We start from the raw sequence: 25,575 nt of genomic DNA, 5'->3' as shown, positions 1-25,575 counted from the left end.
ACAGAAACAAAACCAGACACCACATATTCTCCCTTATAAGTGGGAGATAAACATTGAGTACACAAGGACTCAAAGAAGAGAACAGCAGACACCAGGGCCTTCTGGAGGGTGGAGGGAGAGAGGAGGGTGAGGATCGAAAAACTACCTGTCAGGTACTATTCTTATGACCTGGGCTGTGGAATAATCTGTACACCAAACTCCCATGACACGTAAGTTACCTACATAACAAACCTGCATATGCACCCCTGAACCTAAAATAAAAGTTAAAAGAAAGAAAAAAATCTAAAAATCTTGTTGACATATTAAATATTATGTGTGTGTGTGTGTGTGTGTGTATATATATATATATATATATATATAATTTTTTTTTAGACGCTGTCTCGCTCTGTCACCAGGCTGGAGTGCAATGGCATGATCTCGGCTCACTGCAACCTCCGCCTCTCGGGTTCAAATGATTCTCCTGCCTCAGCCTCCCAAGTAGCTGGGGCTACAGGTGTGCACCACCACGCCCAGCTAATTTTTGTATTTTTAGTAGTGACAGGGTTTCACCATATTGGCCAGGATGGTCTTGGTCTCTTGACCTTGTGATCCACCCACCTCGGCTTCCCAAAGTGCTGGGATTACAGGCATGAGCCACCGCACCTGGCCAAATGTTATACTTTTTAAAAAAAATAAAAACAAACAAACAAAAAACTAAAATCTACACAAATGATTACTTACTCCTTAAAAATCAGGTAGGACAGCCAGGTGCGGTGGCTCATGCCTGCAGTCCCAGCACTTTGGGAGGCCATGGTGGGTGTCTCACCTGAGGTCAGGAGTTTGAGACCAGCCTAGCCAACGTGGCAAAACCCTGTATCTTCTAAAAATACAAAAATTAGCCAAGTGTGGTGGCAGATGCCTGTAATCCCAGCTGACTATGGGAGGCTGAGGCAGGAGAATCGCTTGAACCTTGGAGGTGGAGGTTGTAGTGAGCTGAGATAGTGCCACTGCACTCCAGTCTGGGCGACAGAGTGAGACTCTGTCTCAAAAAAAAAAAAAAACAAAAGATCAGGTAAGGCGACTTGAAGTTTTAAAACATTTATGCAGAGGACATATTACAGAAGAGAACATGTACTTTTCCAGTTGCAGAATGTTTTCATCTGATTTTCTGGAAGCCCCATGACATAGCAGAGTTCTTTTCTTGCTTATCCCCCTGGTTTTGTTCCATCTTTTGCTACAGCCCTTCTCAACCTACTTCATCATTATGCATTAATTAATCCATATGGTAAGTTAATTAATAATTATCACTGATAGATTAATAAGTATATTAAAAAGAATTATTTCATAATAAAATAAACAATTCATGGTATTCATTAATAATTTAACAATTATGCTACAGGAAATTATTCAGTAATTAATACAAATTAAAATGGATTTCTTTTTGTCATATTTATTCATGATTCTCCAAAAGACCTCCCCCTAGATATTTCTGATTCACCACCAATTGGCTTTATTCTCTTGACACCATAAGAAACAAGCTTTTTAATGCTGGAAACATTTATTAGAGTTGACAGCCGTGCTGCAGAGGCGCGGACTGAATGTTCCAGGCGGATGTTTATGCTCAACTCACGTGTAAGTAATCACTGTAAGTCATCTTACGAAACCCCATGCAGCCTCGGTGCTGGTTAATAACTAAGTTTGTGTGCAAATTTATAGGACTATTTATAGGACTAGGTATTAATGGATCAGACAAGAGAGGGAAGTGAGCTGTAGAGAATTTAAGTTGCAGAGAAGAACTTGAACCCAAGTCCTCACCCCATAAACGCTACTGTTTTCTTCTCTGAATAGTCCATTGACACCAGGGAGTATGGCTTTAAGAGGAGCTTTGCAAAGTTTAGTTGAATTAGCTGATAAAAGTGCTTCAGATGTTAGGAAGCCAGTAGCCACGTCAGGCCCCCATTTACGAGAAAGCTTAGACTAGCCCATCCACCTGGGCAGAATTTATCCTTTTTAGTGCATGGGTCAGGTCTGACATTGTTGGAGGTGTGTGTTCTCGCTGCAAATAGCTGGGCTTTGTTGCTAGAGTTGACCATCTTGTTGTAGGCTGAATATTAAGGCCTAGGTCCATATGTGCATGTGTGGTCTTTGACATGGATGGACTTTCCTGCTAGGAATTATATCAGATGACATGTCCTCAGACAGGAATGAGGACCAGAACTCCCAAATGGGACAGGAATGAAAAGGATTCTAGGTGGTAGGAGTTAAGTATGGCCCCAGGATCTTGGAGGAAATGTGGGGAACCTACACAGAAGACGGAAAAGCTGTGCTCCTGCCTCAGCCTCCCGAGTAGCTGGGACTACAGGCACGTGCCACCACGCCCAGCTAGTTTTTGTATTTTTAGTAGAGACAGGGTTTCACCATGTTGCCCAGGCTGGTGTCGAACTCCTGACCTCAGGTGATCTGCCCACCTCGGCCCCCCGAAGTGCTGGGATTACAGGTGTGAGCCACCACACCTGGCCAAAAGCTGTATCTTCTAGGGCAGAAAATTCGGAATTCTCTGTGTTCATTTGCTGTCCCATAACATTGGCAACATTTTGGTTAAATGGGCCAAGGTTGCATTGGCTGTGTAACTGGGGAGGTAGGCTGAGTGAGGAAGCAATGAGGGGAGGATATTAGAAAAAAAAATGAGGGAGAGGCACCTCTCCCTACAACCCTGCTGAGGTCAATAGACCTAAAGGGACACAGCCCTGTGACTGAGTCCACCTGCCCTTCTCAGTACTGGGGCATGAGGGATTTCCCAAAGCAGATACCTTTTTGTGGTTCTTTTAATATTTCAAGGTCAAACAAGAGAGATGCATTTGTGCCTCTATGCAAAGAGAAATTCAATATGTGTGACTTCTTTCATGGTCTCTTTTATGCCCACAGTGTGTCAGAGGTTCTAGTGCTATGGAAATTCCCCAGCCCTCCCACCATCATTTCGTTTATGACTATCTGCCTGTAAAGTTTTGGTTTCTATCTGTTATCATGTTCCACCTTGGGTCTATCGAAACACCAGCGACATGATGTTAATAGGTGCCCAAATTATAAGGTTAAAAAAATAATTTTATGGAAAAATTTCTAGAAAATTGACTCCTTAAAAATTGCAACCAGGGGCTTCCTAAAAGAGATTAAACTGAAATTTACCTTTGGGGCAGACTGTTCCTGCTTGACTGGGTCCTTACCATTAACTAGATGGCAATTGAACTTGCTTGTTGTGCAAGGACCCTGTCTCCACCAGTTTTTTTATGGTGCTGATAGAAGGTGGCACAAAGTGGGAAGGAATGATTCCCGGCCCCACATGGATTGAGGGTGAGTTCTGCTGCAACCTGCCGTGCAGCCTGCACTTAACCTGCCGGTTCTTCTTGCTGTGAGGCTGTATTCTTCTTTGTGCAGGTGTTTCTAGGAGCTGGAAAGCTCACGACAGCATTGTGCAGGAAGGACACAGAGACAGAATCGCTGCACCAAGCTGGAGGAGAGAATGGCACCAGAACGAGCTCTGGCCCAGCGCTCTGTGGAGTGGACCTATGAGGCCCACTGTAGGAGCATGGTCCCACCAATTCAGATGGCTGCAGGGGCTGGGAAGGCGATACACAGGACTAAAAGAGACCATGGGCATCTGGCAAATAGGAAAACATGGGCTCCATTTAGAGGAAGGAGCTGTGTCTTAAGCCATTTTGTGTTACTGTAAAGGAATACCTGAGGCTGGGCAATTTTTATATATATATATATATATATAAAATGGTTTATTTGGCTCACGATTCTGATGGTTGGAAAGTTCATGATCAGGCCTCTGCTTCTAGTGAGGGCCTTGCTCTGCTTCCACTCAGGGTGGAAAGTGGAGGGGAGCCGTGTGAGCAGAGATGGCAGAGATGGCATGGCAAGAGCAAGCAAGCGTGTGGGGAGGCGCCAGGGTCATTTTAACAACCAGCTCTCTTGGGAACTAATGGAGCAAGAATGCATTCATTACCATGAGGAGGGCACCAAGCCATTCATGAGGGATCCCCATGACCCCCATGGGACCCCCACGGGACCCCCATGACCCAAACACCTCCCACCAGGCCCCACCTTCAACACCGGGGATCACATTTCAACCTGAGATGTGGAGGGACACACATTCCAACTATAGCGAGCTGCTACAGAGCTTGAGCTGGTGACTGACATGCAAATCCAGAGGCTAAATGTTGTTTTCAAGAGAAGACAGAAATTTTTACTTTTTTATTGAGGCAGAGTCTCACTCTGTCGCCCAGGCTGGAGTGCAGTGGCATGATCTTGGCTCACTGCAAGCTCTGCCTCCCGGGTTCACGCCATTCTCCTGCCTCAGCCTCCCGAGTAGCTGGGACTACAGGCGCCCGCCACCACGCTCAGCTAATTTTTTGTATTTTTAGTAGAGACGGGGTTTCACTGTGTTAGCCAGGATGGTCTCGATCTCCTGTCCTTGCGATCCACCCGTCTCGGCCTCCCAAAGTGCTGGGATTACAGGAGTGAGTCACTGCGCCTGGCCAAATTGTGATATTTTAAGTGTAAACTATCTCAATGGGAATATTGATAACAATTCATATATATTTTTTAAACTGCATGACCCAAATGAAACAGGTCTGTGTGCCTGATTTGCAGCCTCTGGACTATTATGTGCAAGTGGAATCCTGTGGCTTGGGGTCAGGAAGCAATGCTGCAGGCCTCTGGGTAAGGGATGGGGACTTCCCCGAATGGAGTGGGAATTCCCACTGCCGGTCCTTCTGGAAAGTGGCCTGTCCTAGGACAGGAACTGAGGAACAGGGAGGCAGAGTTTGCCTCCCATGGGTGGAGGAGCTCCTTCTCTCACCGAGTCTCTGGAGGGCTGCCCTGCATGGTCGGGGGCAGGTGTGCTCACAGCACCCTGGTGGGGCAGGCCCTGCTCCAGGGAGGCAAGCTCGGGGGGCCTGACTGAGCGGCAGCAGTAGCAGCCCCAAGTCCCCCTGTTTTGAGCGTCCCTTCTGCTGACACTTCAAACAATGCCTGGTTAAAGGTTATAGCCCAGCTTAAGCTGGGTGCGGAGAGGAATGAGGTGGAGCAGAGGAGAAGGTGGGGAGCGCGTGCTCCTTCTGCAAGGCCTAAGTCAGGGGACTCAGTGGCACCAGAACAGTGGTCATCTTGGGAGTGCCAACAGCTGGGAAGGCAGTCCTGGTCGCTCAGGAGCGGGGAAGAAGAGCAGACGCTCAGGTACGTGGGAACCTATTCCAGAACACGTGTGACACAGCCCAGGGGAACCCCCAGAAATAATAGAAAGGTGCTTTGAGGGGTTTAACTTCCCATGTGGGCAGACGGGAAATGCATGCAATTGGTTGTAATTAGAGTATTGATGGAAACTTGCCCCCTTTTTTTGTAGACACACGTGGTTGAAGCCGGGCCCTTCGTTTGAAGAAATGACAATAGATGTTTGCCTGGAGTTTTAGCGTTTACAAAGTGATCCACTAACACCGTCTCATGGAATCTTCACATCAACGGTGGGGAGAAGGTGTTGTAGGCATTACGATCTCTGTTATAGATGTGGAATCTGGGGCTCACTGTTTGGGTAACTTGTCCGAGGTCATGCAGCTAGTAAGACTCAGATACAAATGCAGGTCTCAGAATTCTAAACCAGGGTTTTCCTCTCTGCCTGGCACTCAGGGACAAGGTGAGGGGATGAACTACTCTAGTCCACTGTTATGGGTTGAATTTTATCCCCCTAAAAGATAGGTTGAAGTACCTATGGATGTGGCCTATTTGGAAATTGAGTCTTTACAGATGTAACCAAATTAAGATGAGGTCATTAAGGTGGGCCTTCATCCAAAAGACTATTGTCCTTGTAAGAAAAGGGAAATTTGGCTAGGCATGATGGCTCACGCCTGTAGTCCTAACATTTTGGGAGGCCAAGACAGGAAGTTTGCTTGAGGTCAGGAGTTTGAGACCAGCTTAGGCAACATAGTGAGACTGCATCTTTACAATTAAAAAAAATTTTTTTTTAATTACCAGGGTATGGTGGCTGGCTTATGCCTGTGGTCCCAGCTACTCAGGAGGCTGAAGCAGGAGGATTGCTGGAGCCCAGGGGTTTGAGGCTGCAGTGAGCTATGATTGTGCCATTGCACTTCAGCCTGGGCCACAGAGTGAGAACCCCACTCTAAAAACAAGAAGATGAACAAGAAGAAGGAGAAGAAGAAGAAGGAGAAGGAGAAGGAGAAGGAGGGGAAGGGGAAGGGGAAGGAGAAGGAGAAGGAGGGGAAGGGGAAGGGGAAAGGGAAGGAAATGGAGAAAGGAAGAAGAAAAAGGAAGAAGAAGAGGAAGAGGAAAAGGAGGAAGAGAAACAAGAAGGAGAAGAAGAAGAAGAAGGAGGAGGAGGAGGAGGAGGAGGAAATTTGGACACAGGTGCTCACAGGGAGAAGAAGGCCATGTGGAGACAGACACAGAGGGAAGAAGATGTGAGACAGATGAGGGCAATGCTGCTAACAGCCAAGGACCTCCTGGGGCTACTACACACTGGAGGAGGCGAGAAAGGGTCCTCCCTTCAGGGCTTTGGAGGGAGCACCGTCCAGCTCACACCTTGATTTTAGACTTCCAGCCTCCGGAGTCGAGAGGGAATGCACCGGTGTTGTTTAAGCCACCCTGCTGTGGTATCTGTTATGGCGGCACAGGCAGAAATAGGGACACAAGTGCAGGTTCAGGGCAAGGTGTGCGAGCACACTCAGTCCCTGGCCTCGGAGTCTCTCTGGATGGCTTCTTGCCTAGGGTGACTGACAGAGGGATGGATGATATGAAAAGGCAGCTGTTCTCCTCCCGACCTAACCCCAATTCTTACTCCATGGGTTCATGACAGCCCATTCTGCTGGAGACTGTGTCTTAAAACTTTCTCCCCTAGTTTCTCTCAAGTACCCCTCGTGAGCTGTGATTTCACTGGGCTTTCAACTCTTAGGCCATTTTCTTTGTGCCTTTCTATCAAAGCTTTATATCAACTCAAACCATGTCTATAGTAGTTTTCCATTTTCCTTTTTTTCTTTTTTAATGATTGTAATTTTTTCAAATGGATTATGTATTTTTATATCTTTTTTCTTTTGAATTTACTTCTTTTTTAAGAGCCATTTTTTGTTTGGAGCAAAATTGAGCAGAAAGTCCGGGGAGTTCCTCGCTGCTCCCACACACACAGCCTCCCCGCTGTCGATATCTGGCACCGGAGGGGTCTGACCCTTACAAGTGAGGAGCCTATGTTGATGCACCATTATCACCCAAAGCTCATAGTTTACACGAGGGCCCACTCTTGCTGTGGAACCACGTTCCTTTTCCCCACGTGTTTTTGCATCCCTTTTCTTTTTTCTACCTTCCCAAACCCTGTGATGTTCGGAAGAGCTATGATCCCTATTCTATAGAGAGGACACTCAAGGAAGCAGCTGATAAGTAGAACCAGGACTCAAACCCAGATCTCATAACTCTAAATCCAGCAGTGGTAGTTTTTTCTCTTTAATACAATTATGACACTCCCTTTTGAACTTGTGATATATACCTGCCGCTAACACACACACACACACACACACACACACACACACACACACACACACCTTGAGAGGCTGTTGCCAATTGTTCTTTAGGCATCACACACAGCCCCGGCACACAGCAGGGGCTTAATAGATATTCCTTACATCGAAGTTGAAAGTCTTGTCTCAACATTCTGCTCTCACACACTCGCCTACAAACTCATCAAATAATAGAGCATCGATTCTCATTCTCTCCCTCTCCCTTCCTTTTAAATCTCCTGGGGCTTAGAATCCATAATTTGTGGAATTCCCGCATTCCCACAGGTGTCCTGGGAGGTGGGCAGGGCCAACACTTCAGCAGCTTCTGCAACGCAGCAGACTCCTGGGCCTGATGTGCTAGCTGCCCATTTGCTATGGGCCTTCGCTCCCCAGAAGCACCTCTCTGGGTATGGGGCAAACACCCCTCATTGCTGCAATGCAGCCTCTGCTGGAGTGAAACAGGATGCTTGATTTCTATTGCGTCAGTAGCAACACTGCCCAGAGGTCTAAGAGAGGAAGTCAGAGCAAAGCCCATCAAAGCCCACCCAGAACAGCAGGGAAATTCCAAGTCATCGGTTTCTAGTTCTCCCCATGCGTGTGGTGGCCCTGCTTTGTGGTGAGCCTCCAGGACTGTCCTGCTGTGCCTCTGAAGCACCTGCTCACAGAAGGGTGACCCATTGAGGCATGCAGTGGGTTGATACAAATGTCAACTCCAGCCCCTGTCATCAGCTAAAGGTCAGCAAATGAGTTCTCTGGCATTTGGGGTCTGCAGGAGCAAGTGAGTACTGTGAACACCTGCAGTGTGGAGACCACGTCCATCTAATTGGCGTCTATGGGGCCCAGTGCCAGGCTGGGCCCAAGTGTCGATTCAGGAAGGGTGTCTCAGGATGCAGAAGCCGCCTGATGCGTGCAGAGGTGGATAGGCCTTCAGCCTGCTCTCCTCCTCTGTCCTGCAGACCGGGTGAGTTATGTTAGCCTCTGCTTTCCCTTCCTGTCCTGAGCACAGCAATCGGGACAACCACACATCCTCTGAGAGATGATAAAAATAATGAGACCAAGAAGACTGCACCCAAATCGATGTTTTGTCTTTGCGCAGACCCCATAGTGTGTCTTGTGCTGCAGAGGGAAGCACCTGGCATCTTGGGGCCTCTTCTCTGCCCCCTCCCCACTTTGGGGAGGGGTTTTGTCGGGGGCAGCCTCCATCCTTTGGAATCCTGTCTGTGCTCTGATTCTCCCTGATGGTCTTTATAGCTTTGCATTATTTTGCTTTCAGAGAACAGAGAAATGTGAATAAGAACAGAAACATGGCACCGGTGTCCTCAGCTTCTTCCCCACCTTCACAGAACTGCTGCTGCAAACTAGTAGTTTTGAGAAATGATGAAAAACCTGTGGTTTTCCCCAAATTCCAAGAATCAGAGGCAGATTCTAGGAGGGTGAAGATGGTGTGGGCTCAAAAATGGTCATGCGGCACATCTTCTGAGGAGATATGCTGCCCATTAAAAGGGCAAAACAGGAGTTGGTGTGTGGGCAGTTCCCGCATCACACATAAAGGCTTCACCAGTGAGGCTCAGCCCAGGAACTGCCTGCCCTTGAGGCTGGGGGCTCACAAAGAAAGCTTTCCCCCAGCTTCTGATGTCCATGAAGAGCAGAGAGCATGCTGGTGGTGATTCATAACCCCCTGAAATGTATCCTCAGTTTGCCAGAGAAAAATTTCTAGGACCCACCTAATAAGTTCATTCATTGGTTCCCAGACTCGGCAGGTTTTACCAGATCCCTCACGACTGGTCCCAGCTTCTCTCCCAGCACATTACTTGAAGGTACACAAATAGTCCACTGTGCTTTGTTTCCTCTGTTTCTTCCAATTCTCTCTTCTGCTTGACCAGCTTGTACTTGAAGATCTAGGTTTTGGGAGATTCCCGGGATTGCTGCCAGGCACTGCCTGCCCCCATCTGAGTAAGGGGTGTAAACCCCAAGAGTATCTGAGACAAGTGTCAGTTAATCTAGGATTGTATATTGCCAAGGTTAAGAACATGCCCAGGACACAGCCTTGGGAGGTCCTGACCACATGTGCCCAAGGTAGTGGGCCTACAACTTGGTTTTATACATTTTAGGGAGACATAAGCCATCAATCAATACATGTAACATGTACATTGTTTTGGTCTGGAAAGTTGGGACAACCGGAAGGGGGAGCTTCCAGGTCACAGTCAGATTCAAAGACTTCCTGACTGGCAGTTGATTGAGTTATTATCTAAAGACCTGGAATCAAGAGAAAGGAATGTCTGGGTGATGGTAAGGGGTTGTAGAGATTAAGGTTTTGTCATGCCGATGAAGCCTCCAGGTAACAGGCTTCAGAGAGAATAGGTCATAAATGTTTCTACTCAGACTTAAAGAGGCTGTTCTATCAGTCATTCCTAAAGGAAGGAGGGTATCAAGAGGCTGTTCTATCAGTAATTCCTAAAGGAAGGAGGGTATCAAGACGCACGTCTGGCTCCCCCTTCCCCTCATGACCTGAACTAGTTTTATAGGTTAACTTTGGAATGCCTTGGCTGAGGGGCCATGCATTCAGATGGTTGGGGGCCTTAGAATTTTCTTTTTGGTTTACAGGGACTTGCACTCACAGTGGCCTGGCTGTCTGTCTGTCTGTCTAACCTGGCATTATGCACACACTTTGAGTTATCTTATTCCTGCTCTGTGTTCTCATTGCATGAGATCCTTGGGTGCAGGAACTACGTCTCCTCCTTGTTCTCCAGAGTACAAATTTTTCTTTCAATAACTGTGCACTGAGCTCCAATTTTGTTCCAATGGCTGTGCTAAGCTCTGTAGATGAAGTCGAAAAAAATAAAGAAGTAAAGACATCATTGCTGCCTGTGTTAGTTTTCTAGGGTACCAAAGCACCACAGATAGGGCAGCTGAAATCACAGTAATTGATAGTTTCACAGTTCTGAAGGCTGGAGGTCCCAGATGGAGGGATTGGCAGGGTTGGTTCCTTCTGACAGCTGCGCCTTCCTCCCAGCTGGTGGTTTGCTGGTGATCTCTAGGGTTCTTGGCTTGTAGAAGCCTCACCTTAGTCTCTGTCTTCATCCTCACATGGCCTTCTCCCTGAGTGTCTTTCTTCACATTTACCCCTTTTAGAAGGACACCAGGTTTTTGGATTAGAGGCCACTCTAATGACCTAATTGTAGCTTGATTTGCTCTGTAATGACTCTATGTCCAAAGAAGTTCACACCCTGGGGGACAAGACTTTAAGATATGAGTTTTTAGGGGACACATTGTCCTGAGGCTTGTGGTGTAGCCGGATGGGGGCCGTGGTGCACCAGGACGCACAGGTGCACACTGCATGTGCTCACCTGGGCAGCGCAACTTGCCTGTGCCTGGTAAGCAGGCAAGGCTTCCTGTGAACCGTGAGGGACTTCTGACACCAGAGGGACAAGTCAGAATTACCCAAGTGGTGGGAAGGAAGGGGTGGGGAAGGATGTTTGGAGCTGAAGAAAAGGCATGGGGGAAAGTCCTGAGGCAAGAGAGAGTGTGGTTCCTTTCAGAAACCTCAAGAACATAACTATGGACACAGCACAGAGCAAGAATGGGGACTGGCAGGGCTGAAGCTGCAAGGAAAGGAAGGCCCTGGTTTCAAAGGGAGCACCTTTGTGTCATAATGAGGAAAACTGGACTTTGTCCCGCGGGCAGGGGAGAACTACTGAAGGGTTTTAAGCAGTGGAAGAACATGATTCGTGGCAGCCTTCCAGAAGCTCATGGGCTCCTGGGAAAAACAGGCCTGGGAAGAAATCAGTAATGCTGGGCAGTGAGGCCGACTAGAAACATTCCCTGGGCCCAGTGAGCACAGACGCCAGGGCAATGCCTGTCCCTGGGAGGGCTCGGCCAACGCTGGGAAGTTTGGTTCAGGCCCTTCTGCCTACAGCAGAGAGGCCCAGCACGCTGCTCCTGGGGGTCTTTGCTGGAGGAAGCTGGGAGGCCAGTGCACACCTGGGCTGCGTGCATTTTTGATGTCTTTTAGCTTAAACATGGAGTTCATGTTCTCACTGCTTGTTGCCGCTGTTGCTGCTGTTGTTATTGTTGAGGGAATATGGGGCTGGACTGAGCAACGCCACATGCTGGAATGACCCTAAAAGCCTGCCACCAGTCTCTCTGGAACATCCCTAATATCCCTAGTGTGGGACTCGGGGAAGGGCATTTGCTCCCCAACACCAGGTTAGAAAGTTATCACATGAATAGAAATGGTGGCAGGGGGTTATAAGGAAGGGAAAGGGTGACACTGGCAAAGATCGACAGGAAGCTGGGGTGGGTTTCATGCCTGAGGGGCCTATGCACATCCCTACGGCCCCTAGGAAGGTCACAGCCCCTGAATGAGGAGCAGGACAGTGTAACCAGGGAGGCAGAGGTGTGCCCAGGACGTAACAATTCACTGCATGACCCTGAGAGTGAGTGCCTCCTTGTGGCTAGGGACGACACACTTCCTTTCCAGCACCCAGGGTGGCTGCAGGGCAGCTGAGGAAGGGACTGGGGCAGGCTGCGGGCCCACGTGCGGCCGTGGCCACCATTCACAGCCATTTCCTCTCCTATTGTTTCCTGGAAGCATCATATCCGCCCTGAGGTCGGTGGGGCAGGGATTGTTGACTCTGCTGCAGGTGAGAAAACAGAGCCGGGTGCTGCCGCTGCCCAAGGGGACCAGTGGTGACAGAGCTGGCCTGACTGGGCTGACCTCTCCTTGACCTCTACCTCTCTTCCCAGGGCTCAGGGCTAAGAAGATGCAGTGCCTCCTCTTTTTCCAATCCCTGGAAACAGGATTGGTTAACCTGGCAAGTTACTGTCAGTTGTACCTTAAAAAACCAAAATGGGGAGAATAGATAGGCGCAGGTGTGGCTGCACCAAAGGAATGCTTAGAAACCACGGGCCTCCTGTGCACACAGCAGCGTGGGTGGATCTGAACATTTCAGTGCTGAGTGAAAAGGGTAAGAAACAGCAAGAGACGCGTGGCAGAACACTCCTTAGGAAAATTAAAAATACACACATAAAGTCACTGTATTTTTAAAGAATTGGCACAAATAAAAATACATAAACACATTCCAATGGTTACCCATGAGGAGGTGAGGAGAGTAAAAGTCCATAAAAAACAAACCATGGGAAGGGCCTTGCCCAGCCCTATAGTGACTGTGTGCCATCGAGAGAGGGCTACACGTCCGTCCTCCACCTCTGCGGCCAGAGGTACCAAAACTCCAAACAAATGAACAGACAAAAACCAAGACAACACCCTGAAAACACAGCAGCAGATCATGTGGATCGTGTGCCTTAGGCATTGTTGACAGTAAGTGGCAAGGCAAAGCAGGCACCCCTGATGCTTTACTTTTGTTTGTTCACTTCACAGAGTGAAGCTCCTGATGCTGCCTTAATGAAGATTTATAACATCCATCCATCCATCCATCCATCCATCCATCCATCCATCCATCTATCCATCCATCCATCCATCCATCCATCCATCCATCCATCCATCTATGCATCCATCCATCCATCCATCCATCCATCCATCCATCCATCCATCTAACAAAAACACATATCAAGTGTTCCTAAATGTAAGACACTCCCCTTAGTGCTGGAAGGGAGGAAGAGATAAAGACATCATCTCCTTTCTAGAGAAGTTTTTAATCCACGTAAGGGTGAGGCATTAGGGACTTTGTACAGTTGGATTTTAGAGCTTGCCTATACATACAGCTTGCAAAAATAGCGCTAAAAATGCCACTTTGATCTATTTCTTTTAGTCACAATGAGGGAGGAGTAAGAGAGAAATAGTACAGCTGACCTAAGATCAACACGGGTTTGAGCTGCATGGGTCCACTTACACGAGGATTTTCTCTGCCTCTGCACCCCTGAGACAGCGAGACCAACCCCCTCTTCCTCCTCTTCAGCCTCCTCAACATGAAGACCACGAAGATGAAGACCTTTACGATGATCCATTTCTACTTAATGAATATAAATACATTTTCTCTTCCTTATGCTTTTCTTAATACTGTTTTCTTCTCTCTAGCTTACTTTATTAGGAGGATACGGCATATAATAGTCACACACTGCATAAGGACATTTCAGTGAGTGACACACCACACATACGACAGTGGTCCCATATGATTTTTTTTTTTTTTTTGAGACAGAGTCTTGCTCTGTCACCCAGGCTGGAGTGCAGTAACACGATCTCGGCTCACTGCAACCTCTGCCTCCTGGGTTCAAGTGATTCTCCCACCTCAGCCTCCTGAGTAGCTGGGATTATAGGCATATGACACCATGCCTGGCTAATTTTGTTTTTTTTTTTTTTTTTTTTTGAGACGGAGTCTCACTCTGTCGCCCAGACTGGAGTGCAGTGGCATGATCTCGGCTCACTGCAAGCTCCGCCTCCCGGGTTCACACCATCCTCCTGCCTCAGCCTCCCGAGTAGCTGGGACTACAGGCGCCCGCCACCACGCCCGGCTAATTTTTTGTATTTTTAGTAGAGACGGGGTTTCACCGTGTTAGCCAGGATGGTCTCGATCTCCTGACCTTGTGATCCGCCTGCCTCAGCCTCCTTAATTTTTGTATTTTTAGTAGAGACGGAGTTTCACCATGTTGCCCAGGCTGGTCTCAAATTCCTGACTTCAAGTGATCCAACTGCCTCGGCCTCCCAAAGTGCTGGGATTACAGGCGTGAGGCACCGTGCCCGGCCCCATAAGATTTTAATGGAGCTTAAAAATTCTTATAGCCTAGTGATGTTGGAGCTTTTGTAATGTCATAGTGCAACACGTTATTCACGTGTTTGCGGTGATGTTGGTGTAAACAAAGCCTCTGAGCTGCCAGTCATCTAAAAGTATAGCACATACAATTGTGTACAGTATATGATACTTGATAATGACAGTGGACAATGATGTACCGGTTTATGTACATAATATTATTTTAGAGTGTACTCCTTGTACTTATATTTTTAAAAGTTTGCTGTAAACCAGCCTCAGGCAGGCCCATCAGGAGGTATCTAGAAGAAGGATGCTATCATAGGAGATGACAACTCCAAGGGTATTACTGCCCTGAAGACCTTCCAGTTGGACAAAATATGGAGATGGAAGACAGTCATGTTGATGATCCTGACCCTGACCCTGTGTTGTGTCTGAGGTATTTTTTTTTTTTTTTGAGACGGAGTTACACTCTTGTTGCCCAGGCTTTAGTGCAATGGTGTAATCTCGGCTCATCGCAACCTCTGCCTACAGGGTTCAAGTGATTCTCCTGTCTCAGCCTCCCGAGTAGCTGGGATTGCAGGCATGTGCAACCACACCCGGCTAATTTTGTATTTTTAGGAGAGACAGGATTTCTCCATGTTGGTCAGGCTGGTCTCAAACTCTTGACCTCAGTTGATCTGCCTGCCTTGGCCTTCCAAAGTGCTGGGTTTACAGGTGTAAGCCACCGCACCTGGCCGTGTCTGAGATTTTACAAAAAAGTTTAGGAAGTAAAAAAATAAAAAAAATTATAAAAATAGAAAAAAGCTTATAGAATAAGAATATAAAGAAAAAACATTGTCTAGCTGTGCAACATGTTTGTGCTTTAAGCTGTGTTATTACCAGAGTCAAAAAGATTTTTTTAAATTTAAAATATTAAAGTAAAAAAGTCACAATAAGGTAAGGTTAATGTACTATTGAAGAAAGAATGTTCAAAGTAAATTTAGTGCAGCCCAAGTGTACAGGGTTTTTATGAAGTCTGCAGTAGTGCACGGTAACGTCCTAGGCCTTCACATTCACTCACCACTCACTGACTGACTCACCAGAGCCACTTCCAGTCCTGCAAGCTCCACTCATGGTAAGCGTCATGCACTTTCCCCAAAGCAACTGAGAAATGTTCACTTCTAAATAATAATAGCTACCCCAAGCCCCTTTTTCTTTAGTACTTTCTGTATTGCCAGTTAGAGCTCAGAGCATTTTCAGTGTTTTACATCATGTGACCTTCTGTATGAATGTATGAAGGTGTGTCCATATTATCTCCATTTTTACAGGTGGAAAAAGATGAAGCTTAGGTGAAATAATTTACCCAAGGTCACATGGTAATGAAGAAGGGATTAGAAGCAGGGATTTCAATTCAAAAGTATTCCTTTTTTAATCTACTAGATTAGGGGTCGGCAACCTTTTTCTGTGAAGAGCCAGAGAGTAGGTAAATATTTGAGGCTTCATGGACCACACAGTCTCTGTCTTAACTACTCAACTCTGTCTTGTACTGTAAAAGCAACCATAGGCAATAGGTAACCAAATAGGTGTGACTGTGTTCCAATAAAACTAGGTTTACAAAAACAGCTGGTAAGCCAGGTTTTAGCTGGAGGGCTGTAGTTTGCCAATCTTTGCCCTAGACAATGGAAATAGCTTTATTTCTTTTTTCATGATTCTATATTTGCCCCCTTCTAAAGGAAATAAGCTCACATGAGGTAGTATACAATTTGATATTATATAGTCACCTGTAAAAACAAAAACAAAAACAAAAACAAAAACATCAGCCGGGCATGGTGGCTCACGCCTGTAATCCCAGCACTTTGGGAGCTGAGGTGGGCGGACCACAAGGGCAGGAGTTCTAAACCAGCCTGGCCAATATGGTGAAACTCTGTCTCTACTAAAAAAATACAAAAATTAGCTGGTGTGGTGGCACATGCCTGTAGTCCCAGCTACTCAGGAGGCTGAGGCAGGAGAATTGCTTGAACCTGGGAGGCGGAGGTTACAGTGAGCCAAAATCATGCCACTGCACTCCAGCCTGGGCAACAGAGTGAGACTCCATCTCAAAAAAACAAACAAACAAAAAAACATCATTGCAATCAAGAAAACAAACATATCCATCACCCCCAAAATTTCCCAGTGTTCCTTTGCAACAACCTCCCTTGCCACTGTTCACTCACCATCCCTGAGCAACTATTCATCTGCTTTCTGTGCTATTGATGGTTTTCATTTTTATAGAATTTTATATAATGGAAACATGCAGTATGTACTCTTTTTGTGTCTGCCTTTTTCACTCAACATAATTATTTTGAGATTTATCCATGTTGTGTGTAGGGGACTTTGATGAATTCCAATTTACTGCTTTTCTGTTCTCTTATGGTCTATACTATTTGTGTTGTAGTTAAGAGATCTTTGCAAACCTAAACTCACTAAGATTTTCTTCTGTCTTCTAGAATTTTAGTTGTAAAATTCTAGAAAATTTGTATTTTTAGTTTTCTTATCTAGTCTATGATCCAATTCAAGTTAATTTGTTATGTATGGGATGAGTAAAAATGAAGATTCACTTCTTTTTTCTTTTTTGCATGTGGCTAATTTGTCCACTACCATTCACTGAAAAGATTTGCCTCTCCCCAGTCAGTTACCTTTGCACCTTTCTTAAAGATCGGCTGACCACATGAGAGACTATTTATGGACTTTCTACTTTATTCCATGAATCTGTTTTTCTATTTTTATGCCAATACCACATGTTCTTCATTATGGTAGATCTTAAACAAATCTTGATATTAAGTAATGTAGTCCACCAACTTTGTACTTTTTCAAAGTATCTATTATATTTGAAGTCCTTTGTATTTCCATGTAAATTTTAGAATCAGCTTGTCAATTTTTATGAAAAAGCCTGCTGCAATTTTAAGTGGGATTGTATTAATGTATAGATCTGTATGGGGAAACATGTAATCAAGTCTTCGATCTAAAAAAATGATACAGCCCTTCATTTATTTACATGTTTTTAAATTTCCTTCAGAGATGTTCTGTAGTTTTCAGGTACAGGCCTTGCATGTCCTTTGTCAGATTTTTCCCCTAAGTATTTCATATTTTTAGATGCTGTTTAATGGTATTTTAAAAACTCAATTACAGATAGTTGATTGCTAGTACATAAAAATACAATTTGTTTTGAATATTGTTTTCTTATCGTGCAACTTTGCTAAATTTACTTATTCAGTTTAGTGGTTTTTTTGTAGCTTCCTTAAGATTTTCAACAGAGATAATTGTGTCATCTATGCATAAAGACAATTTAATTTCTTCCATTCTAATCTGTATGCCTTTTATTTCCTTTTCTTGCCTTATTGCATCAGTTAGGACCTCTAGTACAATGTTGCATAAACATGGTGAGTGCGGTCATGCTTTCCTTTTCCTAAACTTAGATGAAAGACATTCAGTTGTTCATCATTAAGTAAATGTGAGCTGTAGGTGATTCAAAAATGTCCACTTCAAATTGACATCCATAAAGTTGAGAAATTTCTCTTTTATTCCTAATTTGCTGAGGGTTTTTTTTTTTAAACCAGGAATAGATGTTAGATTTTGTCAAGTGCTTTTGCTCCACTTATTGAATAATCATATATATTTTCTTTTTAAGTCTGCTTATGTGATGAATTACACTGATTGACTTTTCAATGTTAAACCAACCTTTCAAGTTTGTTAAACCAACTTATCCCAAGTTGTTAAACCAACTTAGGACGAACCACACTTGGTTACAATGTATTATCATTTTCATAAATTGTTGTATTAGGTTAGCTAAAATTTATTAAGGATTTTAACAAATCCTTATGGGAGATATTTGTAGTGCTCTTATAATGTCTTTTTCTGGTTTTAGCATCAGAGAAATGCTGGCCTCAGAAATTAGGCTGGAAAGTATTTAATTCTCTGTAAATTTTTGGAAGAGCTTGGACAAAATTGGTATTCTTATTTTCCTAAATGTTTGATAGAATTCACCACTAAAGCCATGAAGCCTTATGGATCTGGATCTTTCTTTATGAAAATGTTTTAAGTTACAAATTCACTTCCTTTAGTATATAAGAGGCTATTAATGTTATCTATTACTTATTGAATGACCTCTGGTAGTTTGTGTCTTTCAAGAAATTTTAAAATTTTATCTAAATTGTTAAACATATTGACACAAAGTTGTTCATAATATTTCTGAATTGCTCTTTTAATGTTGGTAGACTCTGTAGTGATCTAATTATCATTCCTATTATCAGTAATTTGTATTTCTTTTCTTTTGTTCCTGATCAGCCTTGCTAGAGATTTATCAATTTCATTCATCTCTTTAAAGAAGCAGATACTGGATTCATTGATTTTCTCTATTGTTTTTCTTTTTCTATTTCATTGATTTCTACTCTAACCTTTATTGTGTCCTTTCTTCTGCTTTGGTTTCATTTGCTTTTCTTTGTTTAGTTTTTTAAGGTAGATAGTGAAGTTCTTGATTTGAGATCCTTCTACTATTCTGTAATAGGCATTAAGTGCTATACATTTCCCTTTAAGTACTGCTTTTGCAGCATCCAGCACATTTTAATATGTTATCTTTTCATTTTCATTCAGTTTGAAATACTGTTTAAAATATTCCTAATTTTCCTTCTGATTTCTTCCTTGAACCTAGGTTATTTGGAAGTATGTTATTTAGTTTCTATTAATTTGGAGATATTCTAGATATATTTCCAATACCGACCTCTAATTCAATTACATTGCATTCAGTTCAATGAACATACCTTGTATGACATTAATTATTTTAAATTTATTGAGATTTATTTTATGTTCCAGAATATGATCTATCTTGGTATCAGTTCAGTGTTTACTTGGAAAGGATATGTATTCTGTTGTTGCTGGGTGAAGTGTTCAAAAAATGTCAATTAGGTTCAATTGGTTGATATTGTCATTTAAATCTTCTGGATCCTTACTGATTTTCTTTCTAGTTCTTCTATCAATTGTTGATAGAGAGTTGTAGACATCTCTGACAATACTCGTGGATTTCTCTTTGCTGTTTTCTTCATTTTGTTTCATGTATTTTGAAGTTCTGATGTTAGATGCATAAATGTCTATGATTGTTATTACCTCTTGATTAGTTGACCTCTTAATCATTATAAAATGATCCTCTTTATGTCTAGTAATAATCTTTGTTCTGAAATTTGCCTTGTGTAGTAATAGTCATTCCAGTTTTGATTAGTATTATCATGTTATATAATTTGCCATGTATTTTCTTTTCACCTACTTGTTTCCTTATATTTAAAGCACGCTTCTTATAGGCAGCATAGTTGGGTCTTGCTTTTTTATTCAATCTGACAATCTCTGACCTTTAATTGTGGTATTTAGGTCTTGACATTTAATTTTATTATTTATATTATTGGTTTTAAATTACCACATATTCAACTGTTTTCTATATATTTTATCTGTTCTTTGTTACTTTTTTCTTTTTTGTCCTTTTAGTATTTCTCTAAGGTTTATAATTTACATCTTTAACCAATCACAGTCTAACTTAAAATAATAACTACTTCATAAATAATATAAAAATCTTACATCGGTACACCTCCATTTCCTCCTTCCCTGATTTTGTACTAATGTTGACATACATTTTACTTCTATATATGGCTTAGATCCCACAATTCATTGCTACTAGTTATAATAATAAACAATCAATTATCTCTTAAAGAGTCTTTAAAAATAAGAAACAATGTTATATTTAATTACACATTTACTGTTTCTGGTTTATTTTATGTCTTTGAACAGATCCAGATTTTCTTCTCTTTTTATTTCTTCCTAAAAAACATCCTGTAACTTTCCTTATAGTACAGCTCTGCTGGTGATGATACTTTTAGCTTTTCTGTATCTGAAAATATTTTTATTTCACCTACAAATGTTTTATAATTTGTAGTATATTTTAGCTAAATATAAAATTTTAGGTTGACACATTTCTATTTTTAGTGCTTTTAAGATGTTGCCCCACTATCTTCTGCTTGCACTTTTTCTGACAAGGTGTCTGATTTATTCTTATATTTATTCCTCTGTATGTAAGGTGTCTTTTATTTCCCAGGATACACTTAAGGTTTCCTGTTCATCATTGCTTTTAACAATTTTGAATATGATGTGACTTGTAGTTTTCTTCACATTTCTTGTGCTTGGGGTTTACTGAGCTTCTTGGATCTGTAGTTTCACAGTTTTCATCAAGTTTGAAAATTTGTGGCCATTAATTTTTCAAATATATTTTCTGTCCTTTTTGATCCTTTATAGACTAATTACACATGTAGGAAACTACTTAAAGATGTCCCACAACTCACTGATGCTCTGTTCATTTTTATTGTCAGCCATTTTTCTCTCTGTGTTTATTTGCAGTTTCTATTGCTTTTCTTTAAGTTTACTAATCTTTTCTTCTTAGATGTCTAAACTGTGATTAATCCTATCCAATATATGTTTTATTTCAGAAATTGTAGATTCCAAAAAGCTTAATTTACATTTTAAAAAATATTTTCCCCTTCCTTAATATGTTCAATATTTCTTCTATCTTCTTAAATATATGGAATACAGTTATAACTATAATTTCTGTATAGTTCTCTTCATTGACTTTTCTCTTTATGAGTTATATTTTCTTGTTTCTTTGGCTATCCGGTGATTTTTTGTTGGGTGCCAGACATTATGAATTTTTCTTTTTAGGTCCTGGATAGATTAATATTCTTATAGATATTCTTGCGTTTTGTTCTGGGATGCAATTAAGTTGCTTAGAAACAGTTTTATTGTATTTAAAGTGATAGAAAAGACTGATGCACTCTTTAGCTTATACAGTATAGGCATACAGGCTATCAGAATCAAAAGAGCTTGAGGTAAGTTAAGCCTGGGGTCTACTTTAAAGGGAAAAGCTAATTTAATACTCTTCCAGAGTCAATCAGTGCTGATTAATTTTTCTTTAATTATTCAACTTTTAGATGTGTGGATCCTAAAAACAAAAAATCAGCTCTGCGTGTCTTTTTTTTTTTTTTTTGAGATGGTCTTACTCCTCTCACCCAGGCCAGAGCGCAGTGGCACAATCACAGCTCACTGCACTCTCAGCCTCCCAGGCTCAATGGATCCTCCCACCTCAGCCTCCCAAGTAGCTGAGACTACAACTGCGCCCCACCACGCCCGGCTAATTTTTAAATTTTTTTGTAGAGATGAGGTCTTGTCGTGTTGCCCAGGCTGGTCTTGAACTCTTGGGTTCAAGCAATCTTGGCCTCCCAAAGGGCTGGGATTACAGGTGTGAACCCCTTGCACCTAGCCTGAATGTCTGTGTTTTCTACTTACATTAGAAGAGGTGTGTGAGATTTGCAAATTTATTGCCAGCATAACAGTGATGCCAGTTTGTGAAGACCATTCTGTAGTAATTGAGACACTGCCTGGTTTTCCTAGCATTTTTCTTATTTTCTTTCCTTCTCTATGTGACTCTACCAGTCTGACCCCTGATTTATCCTCTGAAACCCTCAATGAGGTCAGGAACGTAGTCTGAGGAATAGCAGAACCTAAAAGATTTCTTGACATGCAAAATCTGTAATAGAGTTGAGATTTGAATAAGACTGTAATTAGTGTATTGTGGGATGTCTTCACATGTCTGTAAAACACATGAATTTACATAAAAGATTTATCCCACAATTTGGGGAACCCACTAATTGAGTTTACTGAAAAAATTATGCATTAGACCCTTGAACAACATAAATTTGAAGTGCACAGGTATATGCAATTTTTTTTTTTTTTTTTTTTTTTTGAGACAGAGTCTCACTGTCGCCAGGCTGGAGTGTAGTGGTGTGGTCTCAGCTCACTGTGGACTCCGCCTCCTGGGTTTGGGTGGTTCTCCTACCTCGGCCTCCCAAGTGGCTGGGATTGCAGGCACATGCCACCATGCCGGGCTAATTTTTGTGTTTTTGGTAGAGACGGGGTTTCACCATGTTGGCCAGGATGGTCTCGATTTCTTGACCTCGTGATCCACCCACCTCGGCCTCCCAGGGTGCTGGGATTGCAGGAGTGAGCCACTGTGCCCGGCCATAATTTTTTTTTCAATAAATATATTGGAAATTTGTTTGGAGCTTTGTGACAACTTGGAGAATTCACAGGCTGGGCATGGTGGCTCATGCCTGTGGTCCCAGCACTTTGGGAGGCCGAGGTGGGCAGATCACCTGAGGTTGGGAGTTCGGGACGAGGCTGACCAACATGGAGAAACCCCGTCTCTAGCAGAATTACAAAATTGGCCTGGAATGGGGGCACATGCCTGTGGTCCCAGCTGCTCGGGAGGCCGAAGCAGGAGAATTGCTTGGGCCCGGGAGGCAGAGGTTGCGGTGAGCACGACCACAAAATACACAAATCTATTAAAAGTTAAATTTTATGAAAACATACAGACTGTACATGTAAGCAAATTTAAAATGCAGTATTAAATCATAGCTCTATAGCCGCCACTGTCTGGCCACAGCCCCGCGCTCCTCGCTGTCGCTTGTCATCTCGCACAGGGTGGTTCCGTTTCTGGTATTTGGTGCCGGAATTAAGCAACCACCATGTTGAGCAAAAAGGCAAGACCACCAAGAAGCGCCCTCAGTGTGCAACGTCCAAGGTGTTTGCCACGTTTGACCAGTCACAGATTCAGGAGTTCAAAGAGGCCTTCAACATGATTGATCAGAACAGAGATGGTTTCATCAGCAAGGAAGATTTGCATGGTATGCTTGCTTCTCTAGGGAAGAATCCCACTGATGCATGCCTTGATGCCGTGATGAATGAGGCACCAGGGCCCATTAACTTCACCATGTTGCTCGCCATGTTTGGTAAGAAGTTAAATGGCACAGATCCTGAAGACGTCATCAGAAATGCTTTTGCTTGCTTTGATGAAGAAGCAACAGGCACCATTCAGGAAGATTACCTGAGAGAGCTGCTGACAACCGTGGGGGATCAGTTTACGGATGAGGAAGTGGATGAGCTGTACACAGAAGCACCTATTGACAAAAAGGGGAATTTCAATTACATCGAATTCACAAGCATCCTGAAACATGGAGTAAAAGACAAAGATGACTGAAAAGAACTTTAGCTAAAACCTTCCAGTTACATTGTCTTACTCTGTTTTGTTTCTCACACACTTCCACCACCCTCATAGAACCTGTTGCATGCAACTTAGTTTCACAGCTTTGCCTCTTTTTTTTTATGTATTTATTCCAGAACTTTCTGCCACTTAGCACTTGTATAATCAGACGGGAAATGAGGATGAGGGCATAAATTGTATTGAAAAAGAGATCGCCAATAAAAATCAACAAATGTGAAAGCCCCCCCAAAAAAACATAACTCTATAAACTAGTATGTACTGTACTGCTGTAATTGTGTAACTGCCTCCTGCTTTAGTGAGTCAGGTGTTGCCAGTATCTGCTTAAAACTCTGTGATGCTCGTCATCAGAGCAGTTCCTGTCTTCAGTAAACTGTGTATCACAATAAAAAGTGATCTCTTGAAAAAAAAAAAAAAAGAAATAGTTCGTTTTGAGGCCTGATTTAAGCTTTTTTAGGGAGAACAGAACAGCTTTTAATCCAGGGCTAATCCTTCCCCCATATGAAAGCTAAACCTTCTAATTAGTCTATGAATTATACGGTTTTCCAACATTGGCTGGTGGGAATACAAACTGTCCTGGCCCCTGGCTCCCTTTGTTCCTTTTAGGCAGTTCCTTTTCAGCCCTGGATAGTTTCCTCACAGGCCTGCTGCGATCAGTACTCGACTGAAGTCTCCAGGGTGACCCTCTGCAGATCTCTGGTGCTCTTTGTGTAGCTCTCTCCTGTCTAGTACTCTGTCCTGCCAACTCTGTCTTGGTCTCCTCCAATCCCCAAACTGTCTGCTTAACTTATGGAAACTGCTGATTCCCCTCCCTGTGTTATGCCTTGGATACTCTCTCCTGGCACTAAGTTGGGTGAATCATATGACTCAACTCTCTCAGGGAACACTAGGCTGTGATGCTTGATATTAAATATCTGAAAACCATTGTCGTATACATTTTGTCTAGTTTTTCTTTTTTTTTTTTTTTTTTTAGCAGTTTCAGGCAGAAGGGTAAATCTGGGTCCTGTTGCTTCATTCTGTTCATAAGTGGATGTCTTGGTAAATTGATTTATTTAGTCAAGTCATTTCCCAGTTACATCCCTAGGTTCTATGCCTATGTGCTGTAGTCCCTGAATCCTTGCATATCTGCAAATACCTTTATTTCACTGTCACAGAGAATGATAACTTGGCTACACATAAGATTCTTAGATTGTAGTCCTTTTCTTTCAGTATTCTATAATGTTTCCTAGTACTCCCTCTGATTCTTAGAGTTGCAGAAAAGAAGTCAAATGTCAGCTAATTTTTCCCTTTGTACGCAACTTGTTCAAAAGGTCAAGAAGTTTTCTTTAAAAAAAATTTGTCCTTGTAATTAAGAATTTTTAAAAGCTGGGTATGATCTAGGATATGATCACTCCAGCATGGAACATATTAAACGTTTTCCTTTCTTTTCTTTTCTTTTTTTTTTTTTTGAGAGGGAGTCTCTCTCTGTCACCCAGGCTGGAGTGCAGTGGCGTGATCTCAGCTCACTGCAAGCTCTGCCTCCTGGGTTCAAGTGATTCTCCTGCCTCAGTCTCCAGAGTAGCTGAGACTACAGGCCCCTGCCACCACACCTGACTAATTTTTTGTATTTTTAGTAGAGAAGGGGTTTCACCGTGTTAGCCAGGATGGTCTTGATCTCCTGACCTTGTGATCCGCCCACCTGAGCCTCCCAAAGTGCTGGGATTACGGGCATGAGCCACCGCGCCCGGCCACGTATTAAACTCTTTCAAACAAGCTTTTCTTCAAACAGGTATAATTTCCCCTTACTTCCTTCATCATTACCTTTCCCGTATGTGCATCTTTTTTCTTCTGCTGGAAATCCTAATACAGGCTCATAATCCATTATCTCAAATATTTTGTTTTTTGTTTTTATTTTGTTGTTATTTTAAAAAATAAATTTCCTACAAACATATTTGATGGAAAAGCATACCCTTTACTTATGCGAAGCTATTTTTAGCCATAAAAATATTAGTGTGACTCTATGTTTTGCTGCTGAAAAGCTAAAATGTTTGATTTCAGGATCTATCCTACATCCTGCTTGGGATGTTATATAGTATACACAGTATGTAATGTATATAACATGCAATATAATTTCTAGAAATTGGAAAAAATCTAAATTCCAAAACCCTTCTGGCTTCAGTGGTTTCATAGAAGACATTGTAGGGCTGTAATCACATATTTCTCTCCCGGGTCTATCCTCAAGGCT

The 25,575-nt window shown here is 43.0% G+C and overlaps 1 protein-coding gene across 1 annotated transcript, besides 9 other annotated features; it reads left to right on the top strand.

The window, feature by feature from the left end:
• Positions 2,791-3,090: an enhancer, noted in NCBI's record as "active region_22209". NCBI's record gives its function as "activates an Ori minimal core promoter by ATAC-STARR-seq in GM12878 lymphoblastoid cells {active_cell/tissue: GM12878}" and the evidence as "EXISTENCE:reporter gene assay evidence [ECO:0000049][PMID:35858748]".
• Positions 4,478-4,977: an enhancer, noted in NCBI's record as "H3K4me1 hESC enhancer chr4:185238635-185239134 (GRCh37/hg19 assembly coordinates)". NCBI's record gives its function as "activates a minimal SCP1, AML or CMV promoter by ChIP-STARR-seq in primed H9 embryonic stem cells {active_cell/tissue: H9 hESC(primed)}" and the evidence as "EXISTENCE:reporter gene assay evidence [ECO:0000049][PMID:30033119]".
• Positions 7,660-7,819: an enhancer, noted in NCBI's record as "active region_22208". NCBI's record gives its function as "activates an Ori minimal core promoter by ATAC-STARR-seq in GM12878 lymphoblastoid cells {active_cell/tissue: GM12878}" and the evidence as "EXISTENCE:reporter gene assay evidence [ECO:0000049][PMID:35858748]".
• Positions 7,950-8,219: an enhancer, noted in NCBI's record as "active region_22207". NCBI's record gives its function as "activates an Ori minimal core promoter by ATAC-STARR-seq in GM12878 lymphoblastoid cells {active_cell/tissue: GM12878}" and the evidence as "EXISTENCE:reporter gene assay evidence [ECO:0000049][PMID:35858748]".
• Positions 7,950-8,639: a biological region, named in NCBI's record as "H3K4me1 hESC enhancer GRCh37_chr4:185234973-185235474".
• Positions 8,130-23,577, top strand: MYL12BP2 (MYL12B pseudogene 2). Its single transcript, XM_047416561.1, has 3 exons — positions 8,130-8,154; positions 8,311-8,499; positions 22,690-23,577. The coding sequence occupies exons 1-3, from the start codon at positions 8,130-8,132 to the stop codon at positions 23,328-23,330; spliced, it is 855 nt and encodes a 284-aa protein (XP_047272517.1). The 3' UTR covers positions 23,331-23,577.
• Positions 8,138-8,639: an enhancer, noted in NCBI's record as "H3K4me1 hESC enhancer chr4:185234973-185235474 (GRCh37/hg19 assembly coordinates)". NCBI's record gives its function as "activates a minimal SCP1, AML or CMV promoter by ChIP-STARR-seq in naive H9 embryonic stem cells {active_cell/tissue: H9 hESC(naive)}" and the evidence as "EXISTENCE:reporter gene assay evidence [ECO:0000049][PMID:30033119]".
• Positions 10,556-10,625: an enhancer, noted in NCBI's record as "active region_22206". NCBI's record gives its function as "activates an Ori minimal core promoter by ATAC-STARR-seq in GM12878 lymphoblastoid cells {active_cell/tissue: GM12878}" and the evidence as "EXISTENCE:reporter gene assay evidence [ECO:0000049][PMID:35858748]".
• Positions 10,656-10,715: an enhancer, noted in NCBI's record as "active region_22205". NCBI's record gives its function as "activates an Ori minimal core promoter by ATAC-STARR-seq in GM12878 lymphoblastoid cells {active_cell/tissue: GM12878}" and the evidence as "EXISTENCE:reporter gene assay evidence [ECO:0000049][PMID:35858748]".
• Positions 15,215-15,264: a silencer, noted in NCBI's record as "silent region_15834". NCBI's record gives its function as "represses an Ori minimal core promoter by ATAC-STARR-seq in GM12878 lymphoblastoid cells {active_cell/tissue: GM12878}" and the evidence as "EXISTENCE:reporter gene assay evidence [ECO:0000049][PMID:35858748]".
• Positions 23,578-25,575: the final 1,998 nt, after the last annotated feature.

This window comes from Homo sapiens, chromosome 4, assembly GCF_000001405.40.
Source record: "Homo sapiens chromosome 4, GRCh38.p14 Primary Assembly".
Taxonomy (NCBI): Eukaryota; Metazoa; Chordata; class Mammalia; order Primates; family Hominidae; genus Homo; species Homo sapiens.
The sequence above is the reverse complement of the archived record's forward strand: the minus strand, read 5'-3'. Positions and strand labels throughout refer to the sequence as shown.